Source organism: Homo sapiens, chromosome 20 (genome assembly GCF_000001405.40).
Source record: "Homo sapiens chromosome 20, GRCh38.p14 Primary Assembly".
NCBI lineage: Eukaryota > Metazoa > Chordata > Mammalia > Primates > Hominidae > Homo > Homo sapiens.
In genome coordinates this window covers 3,934,293-3,946,933 of record NC_000020.11, presented here as the reverse complement: position 1 = coordinate 3,946,933, position 12,641 = coordinate 3,934,293, and the positions used below count along the sequence as shown (strand labels likewise).

At 41.6% G+C, this 12,641-nt stretch overlaps 1 protein-coding gene across 9 annotated transcripts in view, besides 1 other annotated feature; it reads left to right on the top strand.

Moving 5' to 3' along the window:
* Positions 1–12,641, top strand: part of RNF24 (ring finger protein 24) — an 88,248-nt gene that overhangs the window by 68,625 nt on the left and 6,982 nt on the right. For all 9 annotated transcript variants that reach the window (NM_001134337.3, NM_001134338.3, XM_011529146.3 and 6 more), the window contains 2 exons: positions 1,716–1,757; positions 11,861–11,940. In NM_001134337.3, the coding sequence (NP_001127809.1) occupies positions 1,716–1,757; positions 11,861–11,940 (122 nt within the window). The remainder of the gene's footprint in view (positions 1–1,715; positions 1,758–11,860; positions 11,941–12,641) is intronic.
* Positions 10,525–10,674: an enhancer, noted in NCBI's record as "active region_17490". NCBI's record gives its function as "activates an Ori minimal core promoter by ATAC-STARR-seq in GM12878 lymphoblastoid cells {active_cell/tissue: GM12878}" and the evidence as "EXISTENCE:reporter gene assay evidence [ECO:0000049][PMID:35858748]".

The window sequence follows — 12,641 nt, the reverse complement described above, 5'->3', positions numbered from 1 at the left end:
GGTGTGAGCCACCGCGCCCAGCCAGGACTGCTTATCTTTCTGTTCATCTTTCGTCCATGTATGTTTGAAATCTGAGCTCACTGGCACATTCCCTAGATGGACATACTGATGTCCTTAGGTAACCCCACACTCTTACAGGTCTCATGTGGGATCCAAAATCAGAGTTGAGTATTTTAGTTTTCTAAATGAATGAATCTTTTTGTCTCAGTCCTATCATAATCTTTTTTTTTTTTTTTTTTTGACGGGGTCTCTGTCACCCAGACTGGAGTGCAGTGGCATGATCACAGCTCACTGCAGCCTTGACCTCCCTGGGCTCAGGTGATCCTCCCACCTTAGCTGAGTGTGGTGGCATGCATAGCTGGGGCTACAGGCGCACACCACCACCCCCGGCTAATTTTTGTACTTTTTGTAGAGATGGGGTCTCCCCATGTTGCCCAGACTCCTATCATAATCTGTTTTGTTTTGTTTTGTTTTGTTTTGAGACAGGGTCTCGCTTCTGTCACGCAGGCTGGAGTGCAGTGGTGCAATCTCAGCTCACTGCAACCTCTGCCTCCTGGGCTCAGGTGAGCCTCCCAAGTAGCAGGGATTACAGGCGTGCACCACCACACCTGGCTAATTTTTGTATTTTTTGTAGAGACAGGGTTTTGCCATGTTGCCTAGGCTGGTCTTAAACTCCTGGGATCAAGCAGTCCGCCCACCTCGGCCTCCCAAAGTGCTGGGATTGCAGGCATGAGCTACCGTGCCTGGCCACGTATTATAATCTTGACAGCTTACAAGATATTTGTATGTAGGCTAACTAGAAAGTAAAATTGGCCTTTGCAGTCATTTAAGTGAAATTGACTGATAAAACTAGACAAGTCACAAGACATACAGTAAATTTGATCTTTAAAATATACTGGATAGGAAATTTAGTATATCCCTGTGAGGCCTTATAGTAGCTTCTGGTGTGATTTCTGAAAACAGGATTTACCCTCAAATCCATTTTTAGTTCAGGAATGTAAGACACCAAAATTTAGAGATTTTCCCTCAAATTTTACTTGCCTATTTTCTTCACTTTAAGATGAAATATAACTCTAATAAGCTATATTTAGTCTCAGAGTTTTTTCTTAAATAGTAAACTTCCTTCTTATCACTTGGCATTCATTTTAACTACTGTCTGGTCACCACGGAGTCAAAACTTTCAAAATTAAGATTGACTTACTTTTTTTTTTTTTTTTTGAGACGGAGTTTCGCTCTTGTTGCCCAGGCTAGAGTGCAATGGCACGATCTCGGCTCACTGCAACTTCCGCCTCCTGGGTTCAAGTGAATCTCCTGCCTCAGCCTGCCGAGTAGCTGGGATTATAGGCAGGCGCCACCACATCCAGCTAATTTTTGTATTTTTAGTAGAGACAGGGTTTCACTATGTTGACCAGGCTGGTCTCAAACTCCTGACCTCAGGCGACCCACCCGCCTTGGCATCCCAAAGTGCTGGGATTACAGGTGTGAGCCACTATGCTCGGCCAAAATTCCTTTTTTAGGAGAATATTGCATCATTGCTCAAGTTAAAAAAATGTTGCTAAAATGATCTGTCTCAAACTGTAAAAGAAATTCCCTTCAATATTGAATATGAGGGAAATGAGCCATATATACAAAAGAAAAATATTTGAGAATATAATGAGAAATATTTAAAGTTACAGATTTAAATGGGCATAAGAACATACTTTTTTGTCTTACAGGTTATATTAAAAGAGAAAGTAAAAGAATTGAATTTACATGAGGTAAGTTGATGATAAGTAAATCCTCTTGAGCCATTTTCTAGTAGCAGTGGTATGCTGTGGTATGTTTAAACACTTTTATTCTCAGTAGTTGAAAAAAATAGGCTTATTTTGATTGGGGTAATAGAATATTTCAGGGTGAGGTCACATAAAAATCAATTGTGTGAAGGCTTTACGAGAGTAATATAACTCATACTTTTAATAGTGATGACACCATTATAAAATTTCATAGCAGTAGGGATGCTGCTTGCCGTCCATGCTGTATGAATAGGAAACAGATACGTTAGTTTTTCTACTCAAGGTGAGTATGTACTAATTTCCCCATTGAAAATGTTCCCAATATTTCTTTCTTACCAATGGTACAAAAAAGAGAGCAGTTATCTCATGGGGGTAGGGATTGAAGAAGGTAAGACATACGGAACAGGGGAAGAACACACAGGTAGCGATATGAATCCTTGGGATTGTTTAGCTCTTCGGTTGCATGGTTGGGACATAGGTGCTTTGTAACTTAAGTACAAACTTGGGTGTGTATATCCTGCTGTATACATTAAGATACATAGCCTATAAGAATTCTTTTTCATTCTATTTCTTGTGTTGCCTCTGACTACAAACTTTCAGAATTTTTATTTTTTATCACCCTTTCCTTCTCCCTTTCTGGGTTTTCTAATTGGTGTTTAAAGCAAGGACTTGAAAAGCTGTGTGTTGTAATAGCAGTGTCGCATATAGCCTAGCTGTGGTGAAGCTAAATTGCCAGTCTCTTCAAAGAAAGTTAATTTGTTAGGTTTTTTGAATCATAATAAAAATAATCATATTATTGTTAAATATTTTGAAATCATCTATTGGTCCTTTGCTCTTTCTGCATATTTTTCATCAAAGAATTGATATGTTTCTGTTTAATGGCATTTTAGACCTAGCCTTGGATTAAACTGAAGCATTAATTACTGTTTGATTTTTTTTTTTTTTTTTTTTTGAGACGGGGTCTTACTCTGTCATCCAGGCTGGAGTGCAATGGTGCAATCTCCGCTCACTACAAACTCCGCCTCCTGGGCTCAAGCGATTCTCCTGCTTCAGCCTGTCGAGTAGCTAGGATTATAGGCATGCGCCACCACACCCAGCTAATTTTTGTATTTTTAGTAGAGACGGGGTTTCACCATGTTGGCCAGGCTGGTCTTGAACTCCTGACCTCACGTAATCCACCCACCTCGGCCTCCCAAAGTGCTGGGATTACAAGCGTGAGCCACGGCAGCCGGCCACTGTTTGATTTTTTACTTTTCCTAGAAGTTAATTTTGACACATGGCCAAAATTAACATGAAATAATAAAAGTGGTCTGTTTCCCATTTGGAGTCTTTTTGATGACCGTAAATGAAAAGATTAAATTTTTACCAGATTAATCCAGAACAGAAGTCTTCCTTACTGGTGTGACCTGTTAGTTTAGAAACTTTGTCCTGAATAAATACATTGTGTGTTGCATCAGTATGTATCATAGTTAGTATCCAACTACACCCACCAATTCCTGTTTCGCTGGTCATTTGTATCTAGTCTTGGATTTTTTTCACCATAGTATCCCCAGCTTTGGTTATGGTGAGTTGCTTTCTTCATTGAAATTCTTTTGCACCTTTTTCAAAAATCAAATAGCCATATTTTTTGTGACTGTATTTCTGGATTCTCCATTATATTCTCTTGATTTGTGTGCCTGTTTCTTCATCAGTACCACACTGTCTTGATTATTAATAGCTTTATAGTAAATCTTAAAATCAGGCAGTGTGATTCTTCCAACCTCATTCTTTTCCAAAATTGTTTTAGCTAGTCTGGTTCCTTGACCCTTCCATGTAAATTGTAGCATCAGCTCATCTGTATCCACAAAAAAAAAAAAAAAATCCTGCTGGGATTTTGATTTATATTGCATTAACTCTATAAATGTGTTTGGAGAGAATTGACCTTTACCATGGTGAGTCTTCTGACCTGTGAATACATTATGTCTATTTATTTATTTGAAGCTCTGTTGTTAGTTGTATACACATTGAATATCTTCTTGGTGAACTGACCCTTTTGTCAAGGTCTCTCGCCGGGCTGGGTGGCTCACACCTATAATCCCAGCACTTTGGGAGGCCAAGGCAGGAGGATCACCTGTGGTCAGGAGTTCAAGACCAGCCTGGCCAACATGGTGAAACTCCATCTCTACCAAAAATACAAAAATGAGCCAGGCGCGGTGATGGACACCTGTAATCCCAGCTACTCGGAAGGCTAAGGTAGGAGAATCACTTGAACCTGGAGGCAGAGGTTGCAGTGAGCTGAGATCGTGCCATTGCACGCCAGCATGGGCAACAAGAATGAAACACTATCTCAAAAAAAAAAAAAAACTGTCTTCATCCCAGGTAAATTCCTTTGCTTTGAAATATTTGTCCAGGCCAGGCGCGGTGGCTCACGCCTGTAATCCCAGCACTTTGGGAGGCCGAGGCAGGCGGATCACAGGGTCAGGAGATCGAGACCATCCTGGCTAACATGGTGAAACCCCGTCTCTACTAAAAATACAAAAAAATTAGCCGGGCGTGGTGGTGGGTGCCTGTAGTCCCAGCTACTCAGGAGGCTGAGGCAGGAGAATGGCATGAACCTGGGAGGCGGAGCTTGCAGTGAGCTGAGATCACGCCACTGCACTCCAGCCTGGGTGACAGAGTAAGACTCCGTCTCAAAAAATATATATATTTGTCCAGGCCGGACACGGTGGTTCACACTTGTAATTCCAACTTTTTGGGAGGCTGAGGTGGGAGGATTGCTTGAGCCCAGGAGTCCAAGATCAGCCTGGGCAACATAGTGAGACCTCATCTCTGCAAAAAAAAAAAAAATTAACTGGGCCTGGTGGCACACATGTATAGTCCCAGCTACTTAGGAGGCTGAGGTGGGAGGATTGCTTGAGCCCAGGAGGTTTAGGCTGCAGTGAGCCAAGGTTGTGCCACTGTACTCCAGCCTGGGTGACAGGGCAAGAACCTACCTCAAAAAAAAAAAAATATTTTTCTGATATTAATATAGCCATTCCAGCTTCCTTTTGATTGTTTGCATGGTATGTGTATTTCCACCTTTTTCTTTTCTTTTTTTTTTTTCTTTTTTGAGATAGAGTCTAGCTCTACTGCCCAGGCTGGAGTGCAGTGGTACAATCTTGGCTCACTGCAACCTCCGCCTCCTGGGTTCAAGCAATTCTCCTGCCTCAGCCTCCCAAGTAGCTGGGATTACAGATGTCCACCACCACGCCCAGCTAATTTTTGTATTTTTAGTAGAGATGGGGTTTCACCATGTTAGCCAGGCTGGTCTTGAACTCCTCACCTCAGGTGATCTGCCCCCCTCGGCCTCTTAGGTGCTGGGATTACAGGCGTGAGCCACCATGCCCAGCTTCATCTTTTTATTTTCAATCTACCCATTGAATTATATTTGAAGTGAGTTTTCTTGTAGACAGCATAGTTGGGTCATGTTTCTTTATCCACTCTGCCAATATGTCTTTTAATTGGTATGTATAGATCATTTACATTCAGTGCAATTGCTGATACATTTAGAATTAGGTTTACCATTTTTTTTTGTCTTCTGCTTTTCTCTCTCTTTTTCATTCTCTATTTTCCTTTTCTTGCCTTCTTTTGGGTTATTAGAACATTTTTTAGTACTTCATTTTAATTTATCTGTTGTGATTTTTACTTTATGTCTTTGTATAGTTTTTTAGTGGTTGCTCTAGGGATTACCAAATAAATATTTAGAATTAGTTTTTTAACACTCTAGTTGGATTGTAGAGACCTTGCCACAATATGGATCCCTTTTCCTTCCCCTCTTTGTGCAATATCTATCATATTACGTCTATATACATTGAAAAATCCCATCATTATATGTCTTTTCCCCATCAGACATGTTTTTAAAAACTCAAAAGGCAGGCATCTGCCTGGAGTCCAGAAGATCGAGACCAGCCTGGGCAACATGGCAAAACCCCATTTCTACAAAAAATACAAAAACTTACAGGTAGCACATACCTGTAGTCCCAGCTACTCAGGAGCCTTAAGTGGAAAGATCACCCAAGCCTGGGAGGTCGACGCTACAGTGAGCCAAGCCTTGATTGCGCCACTGCACTCAAGCGTAGGTGACAGAGTGAGGCCTGGTCTCAAAAAAATAAGAAAACCTTCACGGAGGAACAGCCTTATATTAATCCAGGTTTTTACCATTTCTGTTGCTATGCATTCCCAGTGTTTCAAGTTTCCTTCTTATGTCATTTCTCTTTTATCTTCATAATGAACTTTCCTTTAGTAATTTTCTTAAAGCAGGTCTTCTGGCTATGAATTCTGTTAGTTTGCCTTCATCTGAGAATGTTTTTATTTCACCTTCATTCCTGAAGAATATTCTTGTATATGGAACTCCAGGTTGACAGTTTTTATGCCTCTTCCTTCTGGCCCTCCATGATTTCTGATGAGAAATCAGGTCACTTGAATCATTCATCCCTTACCAGTAATGTATCACTTTCTCTGGCTGCTTTTAAGATTTTTTTCTTTTTCTTTAGTTTTCAGCAATTTATGATATGTCTAGGCATGGATTTATTTGGATTTATCCTGTTTGCAGTTTACTCAGCTTCATAAATATATAGGTTTTTTTGCCAAGCATGGGAAGTTTTTAGCCATTATTTCTATAAATGTTTTTTCTGCATTTCACTCTTTCTCTCTCCTGGAACTCCAGTGACACAAATGTTAGACCCTTTGTTGTTGTTCCACAAGTCCTGGAGAGTTTTTTTTTTTTTCAGTAATTTTTTCTCTGTTGTTCAGACTGAGTAATTTCCAGTGTTCTGTCTTCTAGTTCACTGATTCTTTCCTCTATCCCCTCCATTCTGCTGTTGAGCCCATCCATTAAGTTTTTTTATTGTGATTATTCTGTTGTTTGAGTTCTAAAATTTTCATTCAGCCGCACATGGTGGCTCACAGCTATAATCTTAACACTTTGGGAGACCAAGGTGGAAGGATTGCGTGAGCCCAGGAGTTCAAGACCAGCCTGGGCAACATAGAGAAACCCCGTCTCTACTAAAAATACAAAATTAGCTGGGTGTGGTGGTGCATGCCTGTAACCCCAGCTACTCAGGAGGCTGAGGCAGGAGGATCACTTGAACCCAGAAGGCAGAGGTTGTGGTGAGCTGAGATCACACCATTGTACTCCAGTGTGGGCAACAAAAGCGAAACTCCACCTCAAAAAAAAAATTTTTTTTTCGTTTGTAATAGCATCAAAAATAAGATACCTAGGAATAAATTTAACAAAAGAAGCCCAGATTTATATGCTGAAAACTATAAAACGTTGAAAAGATAATAAAACCTAAATAATTGGGATGACATCCCATGTTCATTGGTTAGAAAATGTAATATTGGTAAGTTGGCAGTAATATCCAAAGTATTTACCAAATCATCTTTTTCAAAATCCTATCTGCCCTTTTATGCACAAATTGACAAGCAGATGAATTCTGAAATTCCCATGGAAATGTAAAGGATCCAGAATAGCCAAAAGAATCTTGAAAAAGAAGAACAGAGTTAGAGAACTCACACTTTCCAATTTCAAAACTTACTATACAAAGCTACAGTTTTTAATACATGTGACACAGGTATATTGATAGCTATATAGATCAGTGGAATAGAACTGCAAGTCCAAAAATAAATTCAAACATTTATGGTCAGTTGATTTTCAACAAGGGTGCCAAGACAATTCAGTGGGAAAAGAATAGTCTTTTCAATCAGTGGTGCTGGGACAACTGGATATCTACATGCAAAAGAATAAATTTAGACATCTACCTCATACTATATACAAAGATTACTCAAAAGTTAATCAAAGACCTAAATGTATCAGCTAATATTATAAAACTCTCAGACATAAACATAGGTGAGCCCAGTGCCATGACACATGCCTGTAATCCCAGCTCCTCAGGGGGCTGAGGGGGAAGCTCCCTTGAGTCCAGGAATTTGAGACCAGCCTGGGCAACATAGCAAGACTCTGTCTCTAAAAAACAAAAAGGAGAAATAAACATAGATGTATAAATCTTCATAGCTGTGGATTGGGTAATGGATTCTTAGATATGACATCTAAAGCACAAGCAAGCTAAGAAAAAATAGTTAAACTTCATCAGGCCAGCCATGGAGGCTCACTCCTGTAATCCCAACACGTTGGGAGGCCAAGACGAGAAGATTGCTTGAGCTCAGGAGTTTGAGACCAGCCTGGGCAACATAGCTAGGAGACCTTATCTCTACTTACAAAAAAAAAAATTAGTTGGGTGTCGTGATGTGTGCCTGTAAGTCCCAGCTATTTGGGAGGTTGAGGCTTGAGGAGCTGGAGGATTGCTTGAGATCAGGAGATTGAGGCTGCAGTGAGCTATGATGGCACCAGTGCACTCCAGCCTGGGTGACAGAGCAAGACTGTCTCAAAAAAAAAATTAAAAACTTTTGTGCTTCAAAGGACATTATCTTGAAAGTGAAGGCAACCCACAGGGACAAAGTATTCACAAGTTTTATATCTGATAAGGGTCTTGTATTTAAGATGTATAAAGAACTCTTAGAACTCAGTAATAAGAAGCCTGCAAAATAAAAAGGTCTGCAAATATTTTCTCCCAGTCTTTTCATCCTAACAGGGTCTTTTGTAGAACAAAAGTTTTTTAATTTGATCAAGTCCAGTTTATCCATTTTTTCCTTTGGTTTCTTTGCTTAGGTTGTGCTTTGGTTGTGCTTAGGTTGTGTTTCTGCTTAGGCTGCGTGTGTCTTTTGTGTCTATGAATGTGTAGTGCTCTAACATCATTTGTTGAAAAGGCTTTCCTTCTGCCATTGAAATGCTTTTTGCACCTTTGTCAAAATTAGTTGGCTATCTGATAAGGGAGTTCAGTCTAAAATATATAAAGAACTCTTACCACTTAATAATAAAAAGAAACCAACTAATAAATTGACAAAGGACTTAATAGGCATTTCTCCAAAGAAGATATGTGGTGGTCAATAAGCACGGCATCATTAGTCATTAAGGAAATGACCCATTTACACCCATTATGATAACTATAGTAAAAAAGACAAGAATAAGTATTGGTGATGATATGGAGAAATTACAACCCATACGTACTGCTGGTAGGAACGTAAAATGGTGCAGCCGCTTTGGAAATCGGTTTGGTAGCTCCTCAAAAAGGTAAACATAGAGTTACCATATGACCCAGCAATTCCACTCCTTGATACATACCCAAAAGAACGTAAACAAGGACTCAGCCAGATACTTGTACACCAGTGTTTATAGCAGTATTGTCCACAATAGCCAAAAGGTAGAAACAACCCAGGTGGCCATCAATAGATAAATGGGTAAACAAAATGCGGTACATACATACAGTGGAATATTATTCAGCCATGAAAATGAGTGAAGTACTGATATATGTTACAATATAGATGAACCTTGAAGACATTATGCTAAGGGAAAGAAGCCAAACATGAAATATTACATATTGTATGGTTCCATTTATATGAAATGTCCCGAGTAGACAAATCCATCAATAAAGAAAGTAGATTAGTGGTTGGTTGCCAGAGATTGGGGAAAGGGGAGAATGGGGAATGACTGCCTATGAATATGGGCTTGTTTTGGGGGGTGGGTGGGTGGCATTTGATGCAAATGTTCTGGAATTAGATTGTAAAGATGGCTGCACATATATACCTAAAAACTGCTGAATTGTACTGTTACTTAAAGGAGTGAATATTATAGTAGATTAATTGTATCTCAGTTTTTTAATGGTGATGGGAAGTCACACTGGAGAAACAATCTCATTGAATACTGGAAACAAAAGTTTATTTGCAAAATATGAACTGTAAAGGAAAGTTGTAAAATGAGTTTGGCTCTTAGGGAGCTTCTAGGAAGTCATCTGAGGCTTTTCTCTTTTTGTGATTGCCATTGACTTTGGTCACCTTTAGCATTTAACGTGTCAGAGTTTGTCTTGTTTTTTCTCAGGTGGCTATAGTTTTAGGATCTGTTTATTCAGAACATAATAGCACATTATACCATTAATAGTAACTCCATTTTGGGGCTGGGCGCAGTGGCTCACACCTGTAATCCCAACACTTTGGGAGGCTGAGTCAGGCGGATCACAAGGTCAAGAGATCGAGAGCATCTTGGCCAACATGGTGAAACCCTGTCTCTACTAAAAATATAAAAAATTAGCCGGGTATGGTTGGCATGCACCTGTAGTCCCAGCTATTCGGGAGTCTGAGGCAGGAGACTCACTTGAACCCAGGAGGCGGAGGTTGCGGTGAGCTGAGATCGCACCACTGCACTCCAGCCTGGCGACAGAGCAAGACTCCATCTCAAAAAGAAAAAAAGAAACTCCTGTTTGGAAAGGCTACTAATCTAATTTTGGATCCTGGAAAAATAAGTGAATAAAAATAAGCAACTCATCCAACCTGTGCTTCAACAGGATCAGTGCTAAATCTCCAGAGGACAGTCCTGACCCTGTGTCGGAAGGCGGGGCTGAGAGGAAAACTGGCTGTTGAAGGCCAGAGGGCCAATCACACAGTCTAGGAGATGGGAGCATCATTCCCTCTTTACAGGTGGGAAGCTGAGGCCCAAAAAGATACCACTAGGCTGAAACTGCTGGATTTTTACCTTTACCCACAGCTTGTTCTCAGCCTCCCTTCAGAGGACAAAAATGGGCTTGCAAACAGTACTTCCATTATAAAATGTAGACATCAATAAAAACAGCTGGCATTGGTAGACTGCCTTACTGTGTCCTTAACCCTACCCCCCAAGCTGAGCTGATGACAGCCGTGTGTAGGGTGGGACAGGCCATGTCCTTATTGTACAGATGAAGGAACAGAGCTCTGTGAGGAATCCTGAGGGCAGAGGCCACACAGCTAGTGTGTCTGAGCCAAGGCCAGCCACCTGTCCTGCTCTCCTCCCTGCTCCCCTGCCATCTTGGTAGGGATGCTGAGTCCAACAGAGCACAGTTATCCATTCTCCTCCTGTGAAGGTCCTGTCTGTCATACACACAAGGCCCTGAAAGCTACCTCAGCAAGGATGTTTAAAAACCAACATGGCACGGTTCACTGGGCACCAAGAGCCACATGTCCTGCCTGGATCATGTTACATAATCTAAGAAGACTGGGTTACGTGTTATAGGTTAAGAAACTAGTAACAGCAAAGCCATCAACAGTCCAGGCTAGAAATGGTGATGGCCTGAACCAGGATCCTTGGGAATGGACAGGGAAGCAAGTAGGGAGAAAGGAGTTCAACCACTGGGCAGGAGAAAGCAATGGCACAACAGCACATCAGTGCAACAGACCTGGGTCCCAGCCAGGCCTGGCCACTCTCCAATTAAATGGCCTCAAGCAACATTATTTTCCTGAGCTTCTGTTTCCTCATCGGTAAAATGGGTCAGTGTGGTGACACATGGTATCCACGGGCCCTGGTGAATGCCCAGGAAAGTGTTGGAACCCAGCCCCTGGGTACGATGGCAAAGGCCTCTCTCCAAGCCATGGAGACTAGTCATTGGCTGAGAGCAGTCCTGGTCCCATCTGCACATGTTCATGAGTTAACTGAGTCTTCAGTAACTTTTTATATGACAGAGACACTGACAGAAGGACAGTGCCAAAGTGGGAGGCCCCAGGAACTATAAATAGCATGTTACTGCAAGCTGTGCATAAAAACAGGAGAAAAGATTGCCAGGGCTTGAGCGGTCCCTTTCAGTGAGTGCTTGGGAGCCAGGCTGTGCTGCTGACAAGGTGGAGAACCCAGAGAGCCTCAGCTCTTTCGGCACACCAGGAAAGGGACAGCAGGCTAAGCTGGCAGATGTGAGAGTAACCCTCCCTCGGTCCCACACTTCTGATGCACTGAAGTAAAGGCAGCTGCCTCTTGCTTTCTGTCTTCTCCCATCTGCCCACCTCCTTGAAGATATGGGACAGGAAGAGCAGGAGACATTCATCTATTTTGGCCTGTTTCTTTTCAGTCATTTATTCATTCATTTCTTTTTTTTTTAAGATAAGAGTCTCATGAGTCCCTTCAAACGGTTGAGCCTTTAGGAGCCTGCACTCTACTTTGTACCTGGGAGGGTACTTAACAGACACTTGGCTTCATTTGTGCATTTGTCTTTCAGCTCTGTGCAGTGTGCCTAGAAGACTTCAAGCCTCGAGATGAGTTGGGGATTTGCCCATGTAAGCACGCCTTCCACAGAAAGTAAGTATTGGTATGGAATTACTTAATGGGACCCGAGTTTGAGGCACATCAACCAACTTCTTTTGGGTTTTAGGGCAGTGCCAGACAAGCTTGATGGCTTCATGATTGGTCTGTAATGCAGAAAGCTGACAGCACCCTACAGGTGGGATGTGTGTGTGTGTGCGTGACATTAGGAGACAGCAGAGTGGTGGAACGTGACCACCACGTCAGGACTATGGGCAGAGAGCCAAAATGAGCCTACACTTGGAGCCCAAGCAATAAACAGCTATTTAGCTGGAACTTTCCACTGAGAGCCTCATCTCCTAAAAACTTATTTAAATCAAAACCATAGTTATTTAAAATCAAAATAAAGTCTGGATATAAATGGTAGTGTGGGGCACTCTCCTCCCACTTCCTGCAGACATATTAATATTCTTCCTCTTATAATTTTTTGTTTTGTATTTCTGTTAGAAAAATTTATTTTCCTACTTCTCACATCCCTGCTCAGTGTATTTTGTTCTTGTAAGAAGTCATGGGTAACTGAGAGTATCACATACTATCTGTGGCTTCACACGTGGAAGATGGGAGGCTCTGGAAGGAAGAGGGGATTGCTGACCCCTTGGCCTCTCCCCACTCCTTCTCTCTGTCTCTTCCCTCTCTCCAGGGGGTGACATCCGTTCACCACCTAGGAGGGGAGCTCCTTGGACCATACAGCAGACGTT